The sequence below is a fragment of the Homo sapiens genome, chromosome 10 (assembly GCF_000001405.40).
Source record: "Homo sapiens chromosome 10, GRCh38.p14 Primary Assembly".
Lineage (NCBI taxonomy): Eukaryota > Metazoa > Chordata > Mammalia > Primates > Hominidae > Homo > Homo sapiens.
The window spans coordinates 68362923-68388206 of NC_000010.11; the positions used below are offsets into that span (position 1 = coordinate 68362923).

At 40.1% G+C, this 25284-nt stretch overlaps 1 protein-coding gene across 25 annotated transcripts in view, besides 2 other annotated features; it reads right to left on the minus strand.

Annotated features, from left to right (window-relative positions):
* RUFY2 (RUN and FYVE domain containing 2) overlaps positions 1-25284 on the minus strand; it is a 66166-nt gene that overhangs the window by 21811 nt on the left and 19071 nt on the right. For 9 of the 25 annotated variants that reach the window (NR_103476.2, NR_103475.2, XM_005269957.6 and 6 more), the window contains 8 exons: positions 23137-23206; positions 21129-21230; positions 20876-20992; positions 18310-18477; positions 16502-16599; positions 13931-14050; positions 1062-1191; positions 668-762 (listed from right to left, as the gene is read on the minus strand). Coding sequence is in view for 23 of the 25 variants with exons in the window: in XM_005269957.6 (XP_005270014.1) it covers positions 668-762; positions 1062-1191; positions 13931-14050; positions 16502-16599; positions 18310-18477; positions 20876-20992; positions 21129-21230; positions 23137-23206 (900 nt within the window). In the remaining 2 variants the exon portion in view is untranslated. Of the gene's footprint in view, positions 1-667; positions 763-1061; positions 1192-13930; positions 14094-14270; positions 15749-16501; positions 16600-18309; positions 18478-20875; positions 20993-21128; positions 21231-23136; positions 23207-25284 lie in introns of those variants that run through there. The other 16 variants (NM_001278225.2, NM_001042417.2, XM_047425452.1 and 13 more) reach the window with 6 other exon arrangements.
* Positions 1485-1654: an enhancer, noted in NCBI's record as "experimental_16583 CRE fragment used in MPRA reporter constructs". NCBI's record gives its function as "activates a minimal promoter by MPRAs in K562 erythroleukemia cells, with activity observed for both the introgressed and non-introgressed 10:70124249 variant alleles {active_cell/tissue: K562}" and the evidence as "EXISTENCE:reporter gene assay evidence [ECO:0000049][PMID:34662402]".
* Positions 8080-8249: an enhancer, noted in NCBI's record as "experimental_16593 CRE fragment used in MPRA reporter constructs". NCBI's record gives its function as "activates a minimal promoter by MPRAs in K562 erythroleukemia cells, with activity observed for both the introgressed and non-introgressed 10:70130844 variant alleles {active_cell/tissue: K562}" and the evidence as "EXISTENCE:reporter gene assay evidence [ECO:0000049][PMID:34662402]".

The following is a 25284-nucleotide window of genomic DNA, read 5'->3' on the forward strand; positions in this document are numbered from 1 at the left end:
ACTTCTCGTGATGCTGGCTTCTTCTCAAAACAATCTCAAAGACAGCTCCCCGGATATTTTGAAAATTCAGCTTCTGTTTTTCTGAGAAAAATATATTAATAACTTCTGAATTCTCTGACATTGAATAAATTGAACAAGAGTGTTAGCTTTCATCTACTGGGAAATATTCAAAGCTAAGTCTACTAAATTGAATAAAACTTTTAATAAAATCTCTCTAGTCTAGTCTCATTTTTTAATCTTTAGAGTTTTTGTTTTGTTTAATAGTTTGTATCTTTCTCCTTTTCTTCTGAGACAGAGTCTTGCTTTGTCGCCAGGCTGGAGTCAGCTCACTGCAAACTCCACCTCCTGGGTTCAAGCGATTCTCATGCCTCAGCCTCCCGAGTAGCTGGGATTACAGGCACACGCCACCACAAGCAGCTAATTTTTGCATTTTTAGTAAAGACAGGGTTTCACCATATTAGCCAGTCTGGTCTTGACCTCCTGACTTCATGATCCACCCGCCTCGGCCAGGAATTACAAAGTGCGGGGATTACAGGCGTGAACCACCGCGCCCGGCCTAGTTCGTATCTTTCCTATATTTAAACTCTTCTGCCTAATAGATTTGGCACACTTATACCTTTTATAAAAGTCAATAATGACTACTTAGTTGAAGGAAAAAAGAAATTACTCGCTAAGCTTGTTGCCGAGTTCTTGAAGAGCTTGCTCTTGTTCATGATATATTTTTTTCAACTGCTGATTTTCATCCTGGAGGTTAAGGAACTCCTTCAGAACAATAAAAGACAGAAAATGAAATTTAAAAGAAAGAAACAAGAAACTCCAGATTGTACATATACCATTAATTAGAAACAAACATCCTTTAGCTTTTTAAAAGAAACAAATTGTGTCCAAAGCTCTTTCCTAGCTGCTGTATCAACTATTTTCCATTTACTTAATCTCTTTACTGATATTTTTTAAGATGACTAGTATATCCATTTCCTTGGTATAATGTAAATTATGATTTATCTTTTTAAATAAGTTAACATTTGTCAAGACAGAATTTTTAAAGTTTTACCACTATTTACTTTTTTAAGACTAATGATTTGTTGAGTCTCATTTCTAAGATGAGATAAGGCATCTTTCTCCTTTTGAAGATCTTCCTGCAAAGTCTGCCTCCATTCCTTCTCAATCTTCAAGTCAGTTTCCAGTTGCACCCTTGAATGACAAATAACACACAGAAGCTCAGTGCTATTTCTCACACGACAGTTGTTATGTATTCTTTACTAAAATCACCCTTTTGGTTTATTACTTTGGCCTTTGTAATGCATTTTTCAGACATTTTCTTTCACAAATATTTTTCAGTAAACAAGTTCAGCAGCACAGGGTTTTCCAGTCACAAAATACTGACTCATTTGCCAGCCACGAAAAAATCCTTGCTAAACCATTTATACCATTAATTAATTTCATATACATAAATATTGCATAAGCATAGAAAATGCCTTGGAAAGGCACACACCATAATATTAAAACTGGTTACATCTTGGGAATGGAACTAAGAGGAGGAATGTAAGATTCTAATTGTCTTACACTTCTATGCCATGTGAAAAATTTTACAACAAACTTTATTCCAATATAAGAATTACAGCAATTGCTAAATCAGTTTAACTTCAGTAACGGCAAAATCAGCCCTGTTGCAGAGTGCTAATTTGCAAACTACTGTTGGAAGCTGACCAATTACAGGAAAGACCTAAAACCAAGCAGACATTGGGGGAAAGTCCACACTGCCTGGAAATGCCAGTTCTGAAAGCATTCCTGCATTGTTCTTCTTTTTTTTTTTTCTGAGACAGGGTCTTGCTATGTTGCCAGGCTGGACTCAAACTCCTGGACTCAAACTCCTGGGCTCCTCCCACCTCAGCCTCTCAGCATCTGAGACTATAGGCCTGCCACCAAAACTCCTAAATTATTCTAACAGGTGCTAGCTGGCAAAGCAAACATAGTTGAATTTCCACATTTTAAGTTGACTAAAAAAAAAACAAACACAAATCACTTCCATGATTATTGCTCATAAGCAGGTATAACAAGTGAGGCATTTATCTACTAACAATACTACAGTTACTAATACTTTATATTTTAATTGCAACATTATAATGTTGAGTACATTATTTTAATATGTTTGTGTTAATATTTAGATTATTTTTTATTATTTCCTCATAGTTAGCATTTCCACATACAGCCATATATTTTTCAGTGGAATAAATTTCAGATTTTGTAATTCAGGTTGAAGAGAAGAGTACCTGAAAATGGAATTTACAAATTATTGATAAATACTATTTTACTACAAAGTTAAAATTTGAACAGCATCTCTTCAACTAATGTTATTTCATTACAATGCTGACAAGAAAAAAAACTGATTCCCACTAGCACCACTGTCTGTGTGAAGTCTGCACATTCTCTCCATGTCTGTGTGAGTCTTCTCCAGGTACTCCAGTTTCCTCCCAGATCCCAAAGATGTGCACGTTAGATGAACTGGCATTATCTACATTGTCCCAGCCTGAGTGTGGGTGTGTTTGGGTGCATCCTGTGACGGAATGGTGTCCTGTGGAAGACTGGTTCCTACTGGGTGCCTGAGCCACCAGGACAGGCTCCGGCCACCAGAGAGCCTGAACTGTAAAATTGGGCAAAGAATTAGCTTACTCGTTTTTATCCATCTTTCTTAAATGTATGCATAACTCACGTTTATTTCAATATTTAATATTAGAAGTGTTCTGGTCTTTAATTAGCAGTTTAGTGATGTTTTTGTGAACATAATTATGCAGTAGAAACTTAACTCTTCATATCAAGTAGCCTATGATAAAACTGGTTTCATTTAGCATCATTTCACTCAGTCAGAGTTTCCAAGAACCGTTGATGCCATTAAGTGAGGACTTACTGTGTATGTTACATAATGTGAGGACTTACTGTGTATGTTACAAACACTGAAGTAACCAAAGCACACAGTACCCTGTTGAATGGCCTCATCATCCAGAATCAGAAAAAAAGTGAATGAAAAAGCAAAGGAAAATTTTGTTTTTAAGTTATATAAATATATTGTAAGAATACATGTTGAATACTAAAGGCAAAAACCACAAAAGGAAAAAGGGAAGATGTACTAAGTTTGGTGGCTCATGCCTGTAATCACAAAACTTTGGGAGGCCAAAGCGGGCAGATCTCTTGAGGCCAAGAGTTCAAGACCAGCCTCCCCAACATGGTGAAACCCCATCTCTACTAAAAATACAAAAATTAGCCGGGTGTGCTGGTGCCCACCCATAATTCCAGCTACTACTTGGAAGGCTGAGGCAGAAGAATTGCTTGGACCCGGGAGGCGGAGGTTGCAGTAAGCCAAGATCTCACTACTGCACTCTAGCCTGGGTGACTGAGCAAGAACTCCATCTCAAAAAAAAAAAAAAAAAAAAGAGAGAGAAAGAAAAAGGAAGATGTAAGTACATAAAGAATTAAAATGTCTAAATAAAAATCACTATAATCTAAATTTTAAGATAAACAATAAACTTAGAAAAAATTTTCAGGCTGGGCGCAGTGGCTTATGCCTGTAACTCCAGCACTTTGGGAGGCCGAGGCAGGTGGATCACTTGAGGTCAGGAGTTCGAGAACAGCCTGGCCAACATGGTGAAACCCTGTCTCTACTAAAAATACAAAAATAGCCAGACATGGTGGCACACACATTTAATCCCAGCTATTCAGGAGGCTGAGGCACGAGAATTGCTTGAACCTTGGAGGTAGAGGTTGCAGTGAGCTAAAATCGCACCATTGCACTCCAGCCTGGGCAACAGAGTGAGACTCTAAAATATATATATATATATATATAATATTAAATATATTAAATAAATAATTAATAATATATAATATATATAATATAATGTTATATGGTATATATTATAATAATATATAATATAAATAAATAAATATATTAAATAAATATATATATATATAAATATATATATTTATGGTTCATGCCTGTAATCCCAGCACTTTCAGAGGCCGAGGCGTGCAGATCACAAGGTCAGGAATTCGAGACCAGCCTGGCCAACATGGTGAAACCCTGTCTCTACTAAAAACACAAAAATTATCTGGGCGTGGTGGCGGGTGCCTGTAATCTCATCTACTCGGGAGGCTGAGGCATGAGAATTGCTTGAACCCAGGAGGCGGAGGCTGCAGTGAGCTGAGATTGCGCCACTGCATTCCAGCCTGGGTGACAAAAAAAAAAATAGTGGTATCACTATAGAATAAGTTGCATTACTGCAGAATATCAGATTTGTCTTACCTATGCTTTTGTCAAACACTAGAAAGGTAATTCAGTAACAGAGTACCAGAGTTTCAAGACTGTATTCTACTGACCAGCAAAGTATCCCAGTCGTGTTCTTCATGTGTTTCATTTGGCAAGGCACAGAGTCTTACACAACAAACCCAGTGCACCATTAATAAATCTGATGACTTAAATGCTCCTTGTAACTTAAAATTAAGAGGAATTATTTTTTTTCTGAATGTTTTGGGGTTTTTATTTTGTTCTGTTTTTAGAGACAGGAACTCACTCTGTCACCCAGTAGGCTGAAGTTTAGTGGCACAATCACAGCTCACAGCAATCTTGAACTCCTGGGCTCAAGCAATCCTTTTGCTTCATCTTGCCGAGCAGCTGGGGCTACAGGTGTGTGCCACAACACCCAGCTAATTTTTTCTTTCTTTCCTTCTTTTCTTTTCTTTCTTTCTCTTTTCTTTCTTTCTCTCTCTCCCTCCCTCCCTGCTTTTTCTTTCTTTCTCTATCTCTCTCCCTCCCTCCCTCCCTCCCTCTCTCTCTCTCTCTCTTTCCTTCCTTTCTTTCTTTCTTTTTGTAGAGACAGGGTCTCACTATGTTGCCCAGGCTGGTCTTAAACTCCTGGCGTCAAGCAATCCTCTCACCTTAGCCTCCTAAAGTGCTGGGATTACAACCATGTGCCACCACACCTGGCCCTGTTTTTGGCTTTGGGAGTGGATTTCAATTTCACAGTTTTCACAATGTAGAAATAATGTGGGTTGTCTTTTTTTTTTTTTTTTGAGACGGAGTCTCGCTCTGTCGCCCAGGCTGGAGTGAAGTGGCGTGACCTCAGCGCACTGCAACCTCCGCCTCCCGGGTTCAAGTAATTCTCCTGCCTCAGCCTTCTGAGTAGCTGGGATTACAGGCGCCTGCCACCATGCCCAGCTAATTTTTCTTTAATTTTTAGTAGAGATGGGGTTTCACCATGTTGGTCAGGCTGGTCTCGAACTCTTGACCTCATGATCCGCCTGCCTCAGCCTCCCAAAAGTGCTAGGATTACAGGCGTGAGCCACCAGGCCCAGCCTGTAGGTTTTTAACCACAGTAATACTTCCTGGCCTAAAGCCAGGGAATTCTACATATTAATTCCTCAAATTTCTCAAATTATTATATTTGAGAAATATTAATTTCTCAAATTACAGGTGCAGTGGCTCACACCTGTAATCCCAGCACTTTGGGAGGCCGAGATAGGCGGGTCACCTGAGGTCGGGAGTTCAAGACCAGCCTGACCAACATGGAGAAACCCTGTCTCTACTAAAAATACAAAATTAGCCAAGAGTGGTGGCACATGCTTGTAATCCCATCTACTTGGGAGGCTGAGGCAGGAGAATCGCTTGAACCCGGGAGGCGGAGGTTGCAGTGAGCCAAGATCGCGCCATTGCATTCCAGCCTGGGCAACAAGAGCAAAACTCCATCTCAAAACAACAACAACAAGAGAAGACTCCAGAAAGTAAAGAGAAGAAGTTTGATCAGCTAGGAACTCCAGGAATCAAAGAACAACATGGTGATGAGTTACCTCAGGTTTCTTTTTATCTCATATATAGCTCATATTGGGTGTTGATGAAGCCCTCAACCCATTAAATACTAATGGGCATAGACAAAAAAAGCCCCAAGTGGAGCTGTTCCCGGGCCAAAGGGCCAGGAAATAGCCTAGCAAGACAGAAAACTCTGGACAATAAATGCCCTATTCCAGCAAAACACCCGAGAAAAAACCCATGCCCCCGCAACAAACCTCAGTCAGCAAAGGCTGAGTGAGGAGCCTGGATTTCTACTCTTGCCTGGCAATGATGAGGTAAAGTTCTTGCACCCTGCTGTGGTAGTATCAGAAAATGCCAAGTGGGAGCCTGAACCTTCCTAACCCCCAGCAGTAATAAGGCATCTGTTATGGTTTGAATGTTTGTCCTCTTCAAAACTCACATTGAAACTTAATTCCCAATTTAACAATATTAAGAAGTAAGGCCTTGCCGGCACAGTGGCTCATGCCTGTAATCCCAGCACTCTGGGAGGCCAAGGCAAGCAGATCACTTGAGGTCAGGAGTTTGAGACCAGCCTGGTCAACATGGTGAAACCTCATCTCTACAAAAAATACAAAATTTAGCCAGGTGTGGTGGTGTGTGCCTATAGTCCCAGCTACTAGGGGGGCTGAGGCAGGAGGATTGCCTGAACTGGGGAGGTCAAGGCTGCAGTAAGCTGAGATTGTACCACTGCACTACAGCCTGGGCAACAGAGCCAGACCTTGTCTCAAAAAAAAAAAACAAAAAAAAAAACAAAAAAAAACCAGGCGAGGCCTTTAAGAGGTAATTGGCTTATGAGGTCTCTGCCTTCATGAATGAATTAACAGGTTAATGGACTAACAGGTTATCACAAGAATGGGTCTGTTATAACAGCCAGTTTGGTAGGCCAGGAATGGTGGCTGACACCTGTAATCCAAGCACTTTGGGAGGCCAAGGCAGGAGGATCACTTGAGTCTAGGAGTTCAAGACCAGCCTAGGCAACATAGAGAGATCATGTCTCTATAAGAAAAATAATAAATAAAAATAAAAAATAAAAGCCAGTTTGACTCTCGGTACACCCCTCTTGCCCTGTGATGTCTTCTGCCATGTTATGATGCAGCACAAAGCCCTCACCAGAAGATGACCAAATGTAGCTGCCCAATCTTGGACTTCCCAGATTCCAGAACTGTAAGAAATAAACCTGTTTTCTTTTTAAATTACCCAGTCTCGGGTATTCAGTTATATTAATAGAAAGTAAACTAATCTAGGCCGGGCACGGGGGCTCGTGCCTATAATCCCAGCACTTCGGGAGGCCAAGGCAGGTGGGTCACATGAGGTCAGGAGCTCGAGACCAGCCTGACCAACATGGCAAAACCTCATCTCTACAAAAAATACAAAAAATTAGCCGGGCATGGTGGTAAGTGCCTGTAATCCCAGCTACTAAAGAGGCTGAGGCACAAGAATCGCTAGAACCGGGGAGGCAGAGGTTGCAGTGAGCCGAGATTGCACCACTGCACTCCAGCCTGGGCAACAGAGCGAAAACTCTGTCTCAAAAAAACAGAAAGTAAACTAATCCAGTCTATCCCTGGATCTAAGGGAAAAAAATAAAGACAAAAGAAAACAAAGTGTCTCTGAAGCAACCCCACTGGTAACAATGGAAGAGTAACCTGGGACTTGAATCCCCATGCAGCAGTAACAAGGCATTTCTTTTTTCTTTTTTTTTTTTTTTTTTTGAGACAGAGTCTTGCTGAAATAAAAATAAATTAGCCAAGCATAGTGGTGTATGCCTGTAGTCCTAGCTACTCAGGAAGCTTGGGCAGAAGGATCACTTGAGTCCAGAAGTTCAGGTTCACAGTGAGCCAGGTAGGGCACATGCCACTGCCCTACAGCCTGGCCGACAGCAAGACCCTATCTCAAAACAAAACACAAACAAAACAAACAACAAAAGAAAACAGATCAAATGGAAATCTTAGGACTGAAAAATACAATAATCTTACTGAAATGGCTCAAGAGAAGAATGAAGATGGTGAGGGAAGAATGAATGAATTTGAAAATATAACAACAGAAATTATCCAATCTGAACAGGAACCTGTGGGACTACTAAAAAAAAAAGGTCAGCTGGGCTCAGTGGCTCACGCCTGTAATCCCAGCACTTCGAGAGGCCAAGGTGGGTGGGTCACAAGGTCAAGAGATCGAGACCATCCTGGCTAACATGGTGAAACCCTGTCTCTACTAAAAATACAAAAAATTAGCCGGGTGTGGTGACGGGCACCTGTAGTCCCAGCTACTCGGGAGGCTAAGGCAGGAGAATGGAGTGAACCCAGGAGGCGGAGCTTGCAGTGAGCTGAGACCGCGCCACTGCACTCCAGCCTGGGTGACAGAGAGAGGCTCTGTCTCAAAAAAAAAAAAAAAAAAAGCCAGGAGTGGTGGCTCACACCTGTAATCCCATCACTTCGGGAGGCCGTGTGATGGGTCAGGAGTTCAAGACCAAACTGGCTAAGATGGTGAAACCCCGTATCTACTAAAAATACAAAAAAATTAGCCAGGCGTGGTGGTAGGTGCCTATAATCCCAGCTACTCAGGAGGCTGAGGCAGGAGAATCGCTTGAATCCAGGTGGCAGAAGTTGCAGTGAGCCAAGATCGCACCACTGCACTCCAACCTGGGCGACAGGCTGAGACTCCATCTCAAAAAAAAAAAAATACAAAAATTAGCTGGGCATGATGGCGCACGCCTGTAGTTCTAGCTACCCAGGAGACTGAGGCAGAAGAATCGCTTGAATCCAGGAGGCGGAGGTTGCAGAGAGCCGAGATCGCGCCACTGCACTCTAGCCTGGCGACAGAGCGAGACTCCGCCTCAAAAAAAAAAAAAGACCCAACATTCACGGTATCAGAGGCTCTGAAGGGGAGAAGAAAGCAACTGACACTAAAAAAAAATCTGAAAAAGTAATGGCTGAGAATTTCCCAAATCTGACAAAGACATAAACCTACACATATAAGAAGCTGACCAAATCCCAAATAGGTTAAAGCCCAAAAAACATTTTTTTTGAAAGCAGTAAGACAGAAATGACATTAACACCTAAAGAGAAACAACAATTCAAATGACAGTGTATTTTTAATCAGAAAACCATAAAGGCCAAGAGAGAGTGGCATAAGATTTCTCCAGTGCTAAAAGAACTGCCAACCCAGAATTCTATACCCAGTGAAAATATCTTTCAGAAATGAAGGTAAAATAGAATTTATTGCCAACAGACCTACCCTAAAAGAATGGCTAAAGAGCTGAGCATGGTGGCTCACACCTGTAATCCCACCTTCTGAGTAGGTTTATTTGAGGCCAGGCATTCAAGAGTAGCCTGAGCAACATAATAAGACCTCATTTCTAAAAAAAAATTTAAGGCCAGGTGCAGTGGCTCACGCCTGTAATCCTAACACTTTGGAAGATCATGGCAGGAGAACTGCTTGAGGCCAGGAGTTCAAGACCAGCCTGGGCAACATAGCAAGATCCTGTCCCTATAAAAATTAGCCAGGTGTGGTGGTATGCTACTATCATCCTAGCTACTCAGGAGGCTGAGGTGAGAGGATCCCTTGAGCCCATGAGTTCAAAGCTGCAATGAGTTATGATCACGCCACTACACCCCAGCCTGGGCGACAGAGGAACAAGTCCCTATCTCAAAAAAATAAAATAAAATAAGTTTTTTAATTAGCTGGCATGGTGGCACATGCCTATAGTCCCAGCTACTTGGGAGGTAAAGGCAAGAGCATTGCTTGAGCCCAGGAGCTTGAGGTTGCAGTGAGCCATGATCACACTACTGTATTCCAGCCTCAGTGACAGAGTGAGACCCCTCTCTCTTTAAAAAAAAAAAAAAAAAAAAAAGAGGCCAGGCACAGTGGCTCACGGCTGTAATCCCAGCACTTTGGGAGGCCACGGTGGCCAGATCGCTTGAGCCCAGGAGTTCGAGATCGTTCTGGGCAACATGAAGAAACCCCGTGTCCACCAAAACAAATAAATAAATACAAAAATACAAAAATTAGCCAGGTATGGTGACATGCACCTGTAGTCTCAGCTACTCAGGAGCCTGAGATGGGAGGATTACTAAGCCCAGGAAATCAAGGCTGCAGTGAGCTGTGGTCACACCACTGCACTCCAGCCTGGGTGACACAGCAAGACCCTGTATCAAAAAAAAAAAAGAATGTTTAAAGAAAGTTCAGACACACACAAAAAAACTTGGAGCTTCAGGAATAAAAAATAATAATGAAGTTTTCTAAATTAGATTAAATTTAAACATTAAATTCTGTTTATGGTTGCACATATTACAACATTGTCTAACATGATTCTCAATATATGTAAAAGAGATAATTAAGCAAATTATATTAAAGAGGGGACAAGGTATGAATACTTAAATAGAGGTAAGGTTTTCACACTTCATCCAAAGTGGTAAAATGTTAATGCCAACAGACTGTGGAAAAATAGCATATGTGTAATATAATGTCCACAGCAAACACCAAAAATCTATACCAAGAGATGCATTCAAAATTGCTACAGATAAATCAAAATGGAATTCTAAATAATGTTCATGTAACTTATGGGAAGGCAGAAAAAATTAAATAGAGGAACAACAAACAGGAAAAACAAATTAAACAATAAAATGGCAGACTTAAGCTCTACTGTATCAATAATTACAACAAATATAAATGGACTAAATATACTGTGAAAAGACAGAGTTGGAAGAATTGATTTTAAAAGCATGAAGCAGGCCAAGCATGATGGCTCATGCCTATAATCCAAATGCTTTAGGAGGCTGAGGCAGAGGAATCACTTGAGGCCAGGAGTTCCAGACCAGCTTAGGATACATAGCAAGACCTCCATCTCTTAAAAAAAAAAATTGTTTTATTAGCCAGGTGTAGTGGCGTATGCCTGTAGCCCTAGCTACTCAGGAGGCTGAGGCAGGAAGATCTCTTGAGCCTAGGAATTAGAGGCTGCAATGAGCTATAATGGCACCACTATACTCCAACCTGGGCAACAAAGCAAGATCCTGTCTCTAAAAAACAAATAGCAGCAACAACAAAACATGAACTATATGCTGTCTATAAGAAACTTTCGGCTGGGAGCAGTGGCTCATGCCTGTAATTTGGGAGGCCAAGGTGGGAGGATCACTTGAGCTCAGGACTTCAAGATCAGTGTGGGCAACATACCAAGACCTTGTCTCTACTAAAAAAATAAAAAGAAAAATAAGTTAGCTGGGTATGGTGGCACAATGCCTAAGGTCCCAGCTACTCTGCAAGCTGAGGTTGGGAGGATTGCTTGAGCCTAGGAGATCAAGGCTGCAGTGAGCTATGATCATGCCACTGCACTCCAGGCTGGGCAAGAGTGAGATCCTGTCCCAAAAAAAAAAAAAAAAAAAAAAAAGGAAAAGAAACTTCAAGCCAGGGATGGTGGCTCACACCTGTAATCCCAACACTTTGGGAGGCAAAGGTGGGAGGATCGCTTGAGGCTAGGAGTGCAAGACTAGCCTGGGCAGCATAGCAAGACCCTGTCTCTCCAAAAGAAAAAAAAGAAACTTCAAACATCATAAAGGTAGACTGAAAATTAAAAAATGGAAAAATATACACTTTAATCAACGGAAAGCAGGAGTCACTATATTAATATCAGAAAAATTAACTTCAGAGCAAAAAAAAATTACCAAAGACAAAGAAGTACATCATATAATGACAAAAGGGTCAACCTACCAAGAAGACATATTAACAGTCCTGAATATGTAGGCACCAAGTAACAGAGCTTTAGAATACAATAAGCAAAAACAGAATTGAAAAAATATATTTACCAATCCACAATTACAGTTGGATATTTCAACAAATCATCCCTCAATAATTAAAAACTACTAGACAGAAAATCACCAAGGACAGAGAAGAACTTAACACTTCAATAGGTATAAAGGCAGCTTAGCAACTTATACATCATACATGGCATGTGGTCTTGTTTTAATGATCTGTTAATATAATATGTAACTATTTTCCATTGTTGTTTTCTTTTTTCTTTGGTTGTTTGTTCTTATTGTTGTTTTCTTTTAATAACAGAATTGGTGCATATTAACTGGGGGAAAATACTGATGTTTATAAAATAAAACTAAAATGCCCCTGTCAACCTCAACCTGCCAGCATTCACCTGAAATAACCACTCCCCAGAATCTGTATTCTTTAAAATCTTTTCTATCTATATATAAATATATATGCATGCATGGTTTTAATTTTATTTTTAAAATTGAATCATATTTGGCATACTGTCTGCAACTTGCTTTTTTTCAGCACAACAACATATACTAACATCCTTCCTGGTTGGTGACATATAGATCATATAAAGTTCTAATAAAAATGTTCTCAGAAGCTGGGCATGGTGGCTCACTTCTGTAATCCCAACACTTTGAGAGTTGAGACGGGAGAATCACTTGAGTCCAGGAGTTAGAGATCAGTCTGAACAACACAGCAAGACTCCATTTCCACAATTTAAAAAAAATGTTAGGGAGCTAAATGATAAGAACTTACGAACACAGAGAAGGAAACAACAGATACAGGTGTCTATTTGAGGGGGGAGGATGGGGGGAGGGAAAGGAGGAGAAAAGATAACTATTGGGTACTGGGCTTAATACCTGGGTGATAAAATAATATACACAACAAACACCCATGACACGTGTTTACCTAGTAACAAGACTTCACATGTACCCCCAAACCTAAAATAAAAGTTAAAAAAAAAATTAGAGACAATTGGCCGGGTGTGGTGGCTCACACCTGTAATCCCAGCACTTTGGGAGGCTGAGGCAGGTGGATCACGAGGTCAGGAGATCAAGACCATCCTGGCTAACACAGTGAAACCCCATCTCTACTAAAAATACAAAAAAAATTAGTTGGGTGTGGTGGCGAGTGCCTGTAGTCCCAGCTACTCAGGAGGCTGAGGCAGGAGAATGGCGTGAACCCGGGAGGCGGAGCTTGCAGTGAGCCGAGATCACACCACTGCACTCCAGCCCAGGCGATAGAGCGAGACTCCATCTCAAAAAAAAAAAAAAATCAGACACAATTAAAACAAAAAGTTCGCCAGGCACAGTGGCTCACGCCTGTAATCCTAGCACTCTGGGAGGCCAAGGCAGGCAGATCACCTGAGTTCAGGAGTATGAGACTAGCCTGGCCAACGTCATGAAACTTTGTCTCTAATAAAAAATACAAAAACTTAGCCAGGTGTGGTGGCACAAGCCTGTAGTCCCAGCTACTCGGGAGGCTGAGACAGGAGAATTGCTTGAACCCAGGAGGCAGAGGTTGCAGTGAGCCACCAAGGTCGTGCCATTGCACTCCAGCCTGGGCGACAGAGTGAGACTCCATCTCGAAGGAAAAAAAAAAAAGTTGATTTAAAAAAAAATGTTCTCGGCTGGGTGCAGTGGCTCATGCCTGTAATCCCAGCACTTTGGGAGGCCAAGACGGGTGGATCACCTGAGGTCAGTAGTTCAAGACCAGCCTGGTCAACATGGTGAAACCCCATCTCTACTAAAAATGCAAAAAATTAGCCAGGCGTGGTGGCAGGCACCTGTAATCACAGCTACTCAGGGGGCTGAGGCAGGAGAATCGCTTGAACCCAGGAGGCAGAGGTTGCAGTGAGCTGAGGTCACATGCCATTGCATTCCAGCCTGGGCAACAAGAGTGAAACTTCATCTCAAAAAAATGTGTGTATATATATATATATATATATATATATATATATATATATATATATATATTCTCAGAAAACAGCATGTCCTTTAATAATATAAGTTTCTTGTAGTTACAAAAGCCTATACTCAGCACCTAGAAACATAATGACCATCAGATTAATGTTAAACAACAGAAGAATGAATAAAACTCTCCTAGAGCAAGAAGACAGCAAAACAGAGTTGAAAGTACTCTGTAAATCATAAAGGGAGTAAAAACATAAGTATTATTACAATTATATTTTCTAAATTTTTTTGTTTTTTAAAGTAAACACTAAAAGCTAACTGGCATCATTAGATAAATAAAAATATTGGTATTCTATCATTATGTGCAAAAAAATGAGGGGGTTATGTTAACACAAGTATTTGTTTCTGAGAGTGAAATACTCACAGCTGTTTCTCCTTTTGGGAGATTTGTTTCTGCAGACTATCAGATTTACTGAGACATTCTTGTAGATATTTCTCATCCTCATCTTCAGCTTCCATTTGCGCCTTCTCTGCTTGCTGCAATCTGGTGTAATTCAAATCAACTTTGGGTAAAACTGAGGCTAGAACTAGGGTGTAAAAGGGTGAAGAAGACAAATAAAAGAAAAATGGGGAAATAGAAACATTTCTAAATGAAAACAAAGTTTGGGGGAAAACTCACAAACTCAAACGTGAAAGAGCCACACAATGTCTAGAAGTTGTTTTGTGATTTTTTTTTTTCAATATAACATGTAGTATGCCCAGAATACTATCTTCAAATTTGTTTTATTTCTTGTTCATAATTAACAGTGCAAAGCAATACAGCCTTTACCACTTATGCAGAGCATAACGAATCAAATTTCAAAGCATAATAGGTATGTTACTACCTTTTTACAAAACCATGAAAAGCAAAGGATTTATGCCTACACTAGGTGAAGAAGCCACACTGTTATATGTTATGCTAGGATGTGTATGCCAGGAATCAAGTGTGCTACAAGGCCAAGAGCAAAGACCTGCAATTACTCCAAATGATAGCCAAGTCCTTCTTACGGCATCTTTATGCATTTACTAAATTATGCCGAAGCTCTGTGTGTGTGTGTGTGTGCACGTGTGCATATATGTTTAAGATTCAAAAAGAATTTGGTGCCAGTTGGCATCATTTGCTAGAGATCATTTTTGTTCCTCACCATTTAATATTAAAAATTAGCTAAAACATTGTGATTTTCATCTTTCCTGTTTTTATTTGTAAGTCGTTGCATTTTCCTGTGCTTAGCTCCACTCCCTGCCTTCTTTGGCCATCTAGGATTTCTTGTATTTAACTTCAATATTTTTATAAGAAAATATTTACCAAGATTCAAAGGATATTAACTCCTTGCAGGAAATCACAAGAGAAATTTCGGTTCAACTAACTAAAAAACTCTTCCTCTTCCTTTCTTCCTTAAAACCATACCAATGGAGCAACCCTCACATATTTCAGGGGTATAAATGCTGCTTCCAAGGAAGGGAGAGTAACATTTAAGTTATCTCCAAATCCAAGTTTAAATTAAAATATTCAGGTGCTGGGATTGGACCCAAGCTTTTCTCTAAGGTTACAAAAAGGAAAATAGAAGTCAGAGTGAGGTAGGCCTTGAAGTTGTGCTATCACAGAAGAGGGCAAGGGAGAACCGGAAAACTGAGAAGCTGAAGCACAGGGTGTTGGCCAGTCTGGGTTATAAATTATTTTAAAGCATATGTAAAAATCTGTAAGGGAGCCATTGGGCAAAGAGTGGGCCAATGAGAAAAAAATATCTGTGCCAACACAGTATAAAACTGAAGGTTAAGTTATTTTTAAACAATCTTTATATTTTTCATCAAAAAGTAGCTAAAAAGATAAAACTGCATTTGAAAATCCTGACCTCCAAAGGGTCAATACTCAAATCACCCTTTGTGCACAAGGTTTGAGGAACGTATGTCTGGAAATCCAAGTGCACCCACTCTGCTTGATGGCAGTGTATTACCACAGCAGCTGACCAAGAAATGTACAGGGTTCCTAACATCCTTTTAGAATATTTAATAGCATTTAGATTCCTTTCTATTTAATATATTATAAAATTGTTGATTCTCTTTTCATTTAGTCTGTTTAAATACAAGTGGTCTTCAGAAAGATATATCTTTAACCAGCTTGTACTGGTCCTGCGTGTCACTGCTGGCACATTTCACCAATGACATTGCAATTGTCCTAGTTTGAGTTAACAAATCGTTGTCACTTCATAATGGAATGGAAAGAAATCAAAGACAGAAAAAGGTAATAAAAATGTCCAAAATGTAAAAATGGGGATAAAGAAAACAAAAAAGAAAAAAGAAGAAAGAGGATGTCAATAAAAGAATATTCATGTCAATAAAGCATTAATAGTTATGTTTTTCATAAGTAGATTCAAAGAAAGCAATGATAAAAGACATATGTTGACACCAACATGACAGGGCAATGGAAATACATTACATTTTCCAACAATAAAAGTGAAAAATGCCAATATAAAACAATTCAATTTAAACAAAATTATATCCTCGGTTGGGTTGAGGGTCCTAGCTCAAAGAAACAAAACTAAACCACCAATTCGGAATGCTTGATTTCAGATAAACAGATGGTGAATGGCAAAGAATATGACAATTAATATGCATGGAAATCAATCAGGGATAATCTCACTCTGTTTGTTCATTTTTAATTTTTTTGACATTTTTATTTGTGTATTTGTTTTATGTAACTGAACGACATGAAACTGCTGATATTAGGCCTCTAAGAAAAATCTACAATATGACAACTTCAAATGAATCAGCGTAATATAAAGCAACTTGATTCCATGCAACAACCAAAGCAAAAACGCAAAATCCTGCTGGGCTTAAACAAAAAACATGTCCTAATCTATGTCTTCCTAATGGTTTTTGTGGCAGGTGTAGGAACTGAATAAAGAAAAAGGGAAGAAGAAAAGAAAAAAAGAAACTAAGACTGGAAATGCTGTACCTTTGTTCCAGCTGCCTCATGGCTGCAGTAATTTTATTGGTTTTTTCTTCTAGTCGGGCAATTATTTCATTTTTTTCTTTCAAGCCATCTTCAGAACCCTATTTATAAAAACAAAAGCTATGGTGGTTTTGATTTGTGTGTGTGTGTTTGTGTGTGTGTGTGTGTGCGTGTTTTTAATAGATAGGGTATCACTATGCAGCCCAGGTTGGATTTGAACTTCTGGGCTCAAGCTATCCCACCTCTCAGCCTCCCAAGTAGAGTTCTGATCTGTTAACCTGAGTATTTATAAGTTTCTTACACCATTTTGCTATGGGACTGTTACTTTGAAATGAACAGAGTTACTTTATACATTAAAATAATTGTGTGATATAAAGCAGTGCTATTAGTCATTTTTTTTTTTTTTTGAGACAGTCTCACTCTGTCGCCCAGGCTGGAGTGCAGTGGCACCATCTCGCCTCACTGCAAGCTCCGCCTCTCAGGTTCACGCCATTCTCCTGCCTCAGCCTCCCAAGTAGCTGGGAATACAGGTGCCCGCCACTGCGCCCAGCTAATTTTTTTGTATTCTTAGTAGAGACAGGGTTTCACTGTGTTAGTCAGGATGGTCTCGATCTCCTGACCTTGTGATCTGCCCGCCTTGGCCTCCCAAAGTGCTGGGATTACAGGCATGAGCCACCGCACACGGCCCTTTTTTTTTTTTTTTAAGATGGGGTCTTGCTATGTTCACCAGGCTGGTCTCGAACTCCTGGCATCAAACAATCCTCCCATCTCGGCCTCCCTAAGTGCTAGGATTACAGCATGAGCCATGGCACCTGGCCTCTATTAGTCCTCATTTAAAATGTAATAGGCCGGGTGCAGTGGCTCTTTGGGAGGCCTTTGTAATCTCAGCTCTTTGGGAGGCCAAGGTGGGAGGATCGCTTGAGACCAGCCTGGGCAATATAGTGAGACCTCATCTCTACAGAAAACAAAAGAAAAAAAGAAAAAAAAATTAAAAAATAAAATGTAATAAAGGAAAAAAAAACTCCACCTTCAATATTTTTGGAAGATGACAGAATACACTCTTGTAAAATATGACATTTTTCAAATTAATTAAATTGTAAAGGGTTTTGGCAACATATCTACTTAATAGCAATATCATCGTACAAAACTCACAATTATGGGCCAGGCATGGTGGCTCACGCCTGTAATCTCAGCACTTTGGGAGGCCGAGGTGGGCGGATCACCTGAGGTCAGGAATTCGAAACCAGCCTGGCCAACATTGTGAAACCCCATCTCTACTAAAAATACAAAAATTAGCCGGGCGTATTGGTATATGCCCGTAGTCCCAACTACTAGGGAGGCTGAGGCAGGAGAATCGCTTGACCCTGGGAGGCAGAGGTTGCAGTGCGTCGAGATCTCACCACTGTACTCCAGCCTGGGCAACAGAGCGAGACTCCATCTCAAAAAAAAACAAAGAAAGAAAATTTACTATTTTGATAGTGTAGCATTTCAATCAAAATTAAATCTTTCTTAGAACTACACTGGAAAAGGAAGTTCACAAAAACGTTTTGCAGTTTAAATTGAGAGTTTTCCCAAAAGATTTAATCTTCATACTCTTAATCTTTCAACATTAAAAATTTAGACAGGTGATATTTTGTTTGTTGATACCTTTTTCATTACATTTCTTAAGCTTTCATTTAGAAAAAAAAAGACATTGGCCTTTATAATATTGCACAGTTAAAATAAAATGGGCTCATCTCTTAAAAACCAAAACCTTTCTACAAATATTCACTTTCAATTTACATAAAATGAAATTTAAGAACAATCCTTACCTGCAACTTTTGATACATCTCTATGTTAATTGCTTTAACTTCCTCTAGTTGTTGTCGAAGGCCTATCAGAGTATCTTGTTTCTCATGGATATCTTTCTCCAGCAACTTCATGGCAAGTTCAATCTCATGCTTCATACTAACTTGTACTGCTAGCTCATTCTCTACATCCTGCAATTTCAATGTATCCTCAATTCACATGCCACTTCAGGATGTAAAAATTAGATATACTTTAAGAAAGATTTTCCATTCAATATGCAGACTACACCTTTTAAGTCCACTAAAGGGAATCAACCAGGCCCTATAACAAGGCAATAAATATTTTGAAATGCAGGGCCAGGCGCAGTGGCTCATACCTGTAATCCCAGCACTTTGGGAGGCCAAGGTGGGTGGATCACTTGAGGTCAGGAGTTCAAGACCAGCCTGACCAACATGGTGAAACTCCGTCTCTACCAAAAATATACAAAAACTTAGCCAGGCATGGTGGCACACGCCTGTAGTCCCAGCTACCAGAGAGGCTGAGGTGAAAGAATCACTCGAACCCAGGAGGCAAAGGTTGCAGTGAGCTGAAATCACACCACTGCACTCCAGCGGGGGCAAGAGAGTAAGACTCTGTCTCAAAAAGTAAGTAAATATTTTCAAACGCAGTTTTTGTTAAAATGAAAGCATTTTCTATATTCTGTTAATCATTACTCTTTAACGGTCCAAGAATTAATCATTTTTATGCTTCATAGATTGAATATTAATTTTCCTTAAACAAAAGGAAATGAAGCAGTCTGTACATGTAAAGGCCAAAGTAACTCAAATAACAGTTTAATTTCCTTTTTTTTTTTTTTTTGAGACGGAGTCTCGCTCTGTTGCCCAGGCTGGAGTGCAGTGGCACCATCTTGGCCCACTGCAAGCTCCGCCTCCCAAGTTCATGCCATTCTCCTGCCTCAGCCTCCCGAGTAGGTGGGACCACAGGGGTCTGCCACTATGACTGGCTAATTTTTTTTTTTTTTGTATTTTTAGTACAGACAGGGTTTCACCATGTTAGCCAGGATGGTCTCGATCTCCTGACCTTGTGATCCACCAGCCTCCGCCTCCCAAAGTGCTGGGATTACAGGCGTGAGCCACCGTGCCCGGCCAACACAGTTTAATTTCTTAAGAATTTTTTATCAGAAGGATTAAAAAGTTTCTTATGATTTATTTTAAGAAATTTATTGGCCTGGTGCGGTGGCTCATGCAGGTAATCCCAGCACTTTAGGAGGCCAAGGTGGGCAGATCATGAGGTCAAGAGATCGAGACCATCCTGGCTAACATGGTGAAACTCCGTCTCTACTAAAAATACAAAAAATTAGCCGGGCGTGGTGGCGGGCGCCTATAGTCCCAGCTACTCGGGAGGCTGAGGCAGGAGAATGGCGTGAACCTGGGAGGCAGAGCTTGCAGTGAGCCGAGATGGCGCCACTGCACTCTAGCCTGGGCAACAGAGCGAGACTCTATCTCAAAAAAAAAAAAAAAGAAAAAAAAAAGAAATTTATTAGCATTCAAGACAAACAGAAAAGGTGATAAAAAGATGGGCAATATTCTCTTCTTGACCTGGGTGGAGGTTACGCAGGTTATTTGTGTTATAATTCATTAAGCTGTATATTCGTATTTTTCTGTTGGCATTATATTTCACAATTTCAAAGGTTAAAAAACAAGTTAATTTTAAATATGACTTTCCTAATATTTGAATATGTCATTCTGTTCTATTTCATTTTCTATAACGCTGGTCATAACCCATTCATTCACAATCATATACTGTAACTTACAGTTTAAAAAACACTGATACAGGTCAGGCACAGTGGCTTATGCCTATAATCACAGCACTTTGGGAGGCCAAGGCAGGTGGATCACTTGAGGCCAGGAGTTTGAGCCCAGCCTGGCCAACACGGCAAAGCCCCATCTCTATAAAAAATACAAAAGTTAGCCAGGCATGGTGGCACATGCCTGTAGTCCCAGCTACTTGGGAGGCTGAGGTACAAGAATTGCTTAAACCTGGAAGGCAGAGGCTGCAGTGAGCCAAGATCGCACCACTGCACTCCAGCCTGAGTGACAGAGCAAGACTCTGTCTCAAAACAACAATAGGCTGGGCGCAGTGGCTCACGCCTGTAATCCCAACACTTTGGGAGGCCAAGATAGGCAGATCACTTGAGGCCAGGAGTTCAAGACCAGCCTGGCCAACATGGTGAAACCCCATCTCTACAAAAAATACAAAAATTAGCCGGGTGTGGTGGCACATGCCTTGTACTCCCAATTACTTGGGAGGCTGAGGTACAAGAATCACTTGAACCCGGGAGGCAGAGGCTGCAGTGAGCCAAGATCACACCACTGCACTCCAGCCTGGGCCACAGAGTGAGAATCTGTCTCAAAACAACAATAAAACATTGATATAGTGGAAGCTTAGAAAATTTGAGAAGATTAAGGGGTGAGCTTGCTACATACCACACCAAAAAGGATAAGGCTGAAAAAGATTTTAAATGGTGCTTGCTTGAGGGTAAATTACTCCCAGGATGATCTTGCTAATGTAATTTTTAATATAACCTACCTGTCGTAACTGAGATTCATCTCGAAGCTGCCTTCTGGCTTCATTGTACATTTCATCTAGCCCCTGACGAGAATGCTTATATGTTTGAAGCTCAGTTTCCACATCTACTTTGGTAACCTAGGAAGAAAACAAAATTTTTCATTCTATAATCACTACTATTAATACAGCATAGAAATACCTACTTCATCCAAAAATCCCCAAAAATGGTAATTTCTGACACGAGATTGTCTGCTTGAAAGCAGTCTATACTTACCTCTAGGTGCTGCTGTGTTTTCATTAAAATCAATTTATTTTCACTTCGTAATTGATGATTTTCTTCCTGGAGTTTAATGATGTTATTCTTTGCTATTGCTAACTAAAAATTAAGAAACGGGCAAGAAAAAAGATTTTAAACACCCTTATACTTGCTTTGCAGGTTATGTGCATGGCCATAAACATCAGAAAATAAAATCTCACAACTAGCAAAAGGTCTGTCACATTCACAGAAACGTTCATAAGGAAAACACGCTCGTTATTATCCCAAGATACCAATTTTAAAAATTATACTCTTATTTCCTTTTGAATTATTCCTACTATTTTCTTTTATAGTTGAAACACATTAGGCTTATTTGTTATGCTTATAATAAACATATTATGTTTACTGTATGATTTACAGTATGTCCTGAATACAAAGTGTCTGAGTAAACAAATAGAGAAATATGCATTAAATAACAAAGGCTTTAAAGACTTGTGTAAAGATAAAAACATGCATAAGGAAAGAAGATTGTGCTATCATTGAAAATGTAATACAGACATTTGTGGTAACTGAGTTGGACACCCCATGAAGTCTAGACATGTAACAGGAACTTAAGTGACTACAACAAACAAGAGACAGGTCTCACCATGAGTTAAACATGAATGATTAAGTGGTTTGACTCTGAGGCCCAGAATGGAAAGAAAGATCCTATGAAAGCAAAGCAGAGACCATTCCCTAATGATGGTTTGCAATTAACACATTTCTAAACATTTTATCAGGAATCAACTTGAACTTCACAGTCCTACTAAAGTCAAGAAGAGGCACAAACTAGTGAGTAGCTCTATAATGGTCCCGATCAGGAGCCCAACCATCAAAATAAAGATGCATTCTTAACTGCAGTCATGCAAGTTATCATGTGTTCGTTGGTTTGGAAAAATTAGGCCAATTTGGCTGGGTGCAGTGGCTCACACCTGTAATCCCAGTACTTTGGGAGGCCGAGGCAGGTGGATCACGAGGTCAGGAGTTTGAGATCAGCCTGACCAACACGGTGAAACCCCGTCTCTACTAAAAATACAAAAAAATTAGCCGGGCGTGGTGGTGCGTGCCTTTAATCCCAGCTACTCAGGAGGCTGAGGCAGGAGAATCGCTTGCACCTGGGAGGCGGAGGTTGCAGTGAGCCGAGATCGCGCCACTGCACTCCAGCCTGGGTGACAGAGCAAGACTCCATCTCAAAAAAAAAAAAAATTTAGGCTAATGAGAATGTTAATTAACATGGAAAATAGGGTTCACAATACAAATAACAGAAGCCTAAATATTTCTGAAAATATATAAGCAATAATTCTGTGATTTAATACATTAAAAAAAATCTAGAAAGCAACTCTACAAAAAAGAGAGCTGAGATAAATTTGCAAGAAAACAGAGCACATGGGATGAGCTTTGCACATGAGAAGGTGGAAAAATGGTCAACATGATCATGCAGTGATGCCTGTGAAGAAAAGTAATCTGACTAGTGGAACAGTGGGAAGAGAGGGACGGTATCATTTTAACAAGAATTTCTTTTTTTTAATGTGTATTTTTTTTTGTATTATACTTTAAATTCTGGGATACATGTGCAGAATGTACAGGTTTGTTACACAGGTATACATGTGCCATGGTGGTTTACTGCACTTAACGAGCATTTCTAATTACAGGTGATTACACTAGGTAAATATAGGTCATCCAGATTTTAAAATGAAAATCACAGCTTATCTACTGAAGAATTTGTGTGAGTTTCATCTCTGAGGCTCATTTTTAGAAGCTGAGTATCTCAAATATAGTATCTCAGATTCATATAACTGAGGATTTGCCTAAGAATATATGGTTTCTCTAGAACTTATAATCATCAGTTACGACTATATTACAAGTATTGCATCACAATGATGAGTGTGTGTTCGTGTGTGTGTGTATGTTTAATGCATTCATACTTAAAATGGAAAAGGATCACAAACACTAGGTCCATGAAATACATTTATCCATTAGACAATACCTCTTCAATCAGCTTAGTATTTGACTTTTCTAATGAATCAACTCTTGAATGGAGGCTGCTGACTGTGCTGCTGAAATTAAGAAACAAAAAAACTCATTCAAAATCACACGAACTCAAAAAGGCACGAAAAAATATGTTATCCTAGATTTACTATGTTTACTGACAGGCACCAACTGCCCTGTCCAAATTTCTGAGTGTGGAAAATTTCATTAACTTGGATAACTTGATTTAGCTAGGAGGGCAATAAAGAGTGTAGCAAAATAATATTTGTATTAAAATTCCATTTGGTGCTACTGATTTTTTTTTTCTGAGATGGAGTCTCACTCTGTTGCCCAGGCTGGAGTGCAGTGGCACGATCTCGGCTCACTGCAGCCTCCGCCTCCTGGGTTCAAACTATTCTTCTGCCTCAGCCTCCTGAATAGCTGGGTTTACAGGCGTGCGCCACCATGCCCGGCTAATTTTTGTATTTTTAGTAGAGACGGGGTTACACCATGTTGGTCAGGCTGGTCTTGAACTCCTGACCTCATGACCCACCCACCTCAGCCTCCCAAAGTGCTGGATTACAGGCGTGAGCAACAGCACCCGGCCTACTCATTTTTTTACATTGTCTTCTTAGGGTCCTTCTTAAATTTAACTGAAAATATTTGGGAATAAAAATTCGACACAAAGATTACTAAGTATTGTTAAAATTATATTTAAAAGGATGAGCTTTAAATGTCTACTTTATAATTATGTGGTTTCATGAGGCATATAAACAATGGTCTTTAATTCAAGCTCCATTTTGATTCCCCTCTCCATTTTCATGAGAACTTAGAGACATCCAAAGTCAACCATGGTTTGAGAAATATGAAGATGAGATACCCAGCATCAGGTTCTTAGTATCAAGGATCTGGCAGCTAAACACCCTGTCTTTCAAAGGAAATAGTCAAAGGTCAGATTATACCAGATGAACACACTTTTTGCATTTTTGTTTAAATGAATCAAGACTGGACATTATTGTATATTTTAAGAATGTTGGCCAGGCACAGTGGCTCACACCTGTAATCCCGGCACTTTGGGAGGCTGAGGCAGGCAGATCACCTGAAGTCAGGAGTTGGAGATCAGCCTGGCCAACATGGTGAAACCTGGTCTCTACTAAAAATACAAAACTTAGCCAAGCGTGGTGGCGGGCGTCTGTAATCCCAGCTACTTGGGTGGCTGAGGCAGGAGAATCACTTGAACCTGGGAGGCAGAGGTTGCAGTGAGCCGAGATTGCGCCACTGTACTCCAGCCTGGGCAACAAGGGCAAAACTCCATCTCAAAAAAAAAGAATGTTGTCCAAGGCCTGCTTGATACTACCATCTCAAAACCTTCTCTAATAAAATGTAATATTCTATATGTAGTATGTTTCAGCAAAATCAACAATAGATGCAATAAATTTTATACCAGCCTCAGAAACAAGTATTGGTATTTTAATTTTACTAGTGAAACAAGAAAAATGTTTTTCCATTCATATTAAATCATTTTTAAGACATAATCATTCTTAGGTAGACAACTTGAGTTTTTCACAAATAGCACCAGGATGTCCTGATGGTAACGACAGACAAACACAAGTCTAGGAGACGTAAGACCAAGAGCCCTGCTTTTCTACTTCCTAATTGTGTCACCTTGAAAGTTGTAAAACCAGCCAGGCACAGTGGCTCACACCCATAATCCCAGCACTTTGGGAGGCCGAGGCGGGCAGATCACAAGGTCAGGAATTCAAAATCAGCCTGGCCAACATGGTGAAACCCCGTCTCTACTAAAAATACAAAACTTAGCTGGGCGTGGTGGCACACGCCTGTAATCCCAGCTACTCAGGAGGCTGAGGCAGGAGAATCGATTGAACCCGGGAGGCGGACGTTGCAGTGAGCCGAGATCGCACCATCGCACTCCAGCCTGGGTGACAGGGCAAGACTCTGTCTCAGAAAATAATAATAATAATAAAAGAAAGTTGCAAAACCTTCCTGAGCTTCAGTTTCTTTTCAACAAATTGGACAATAATATTCACCTTGCCTTTATGCGAGGATACAATAATCATCAAGAAAAGCACTTTGAAAACAAACCCTCAATAGTAGTTTTGAGTGAGGAATAATAGGCGAATTCAGGCCAGGCACGGTGGCTCCACAT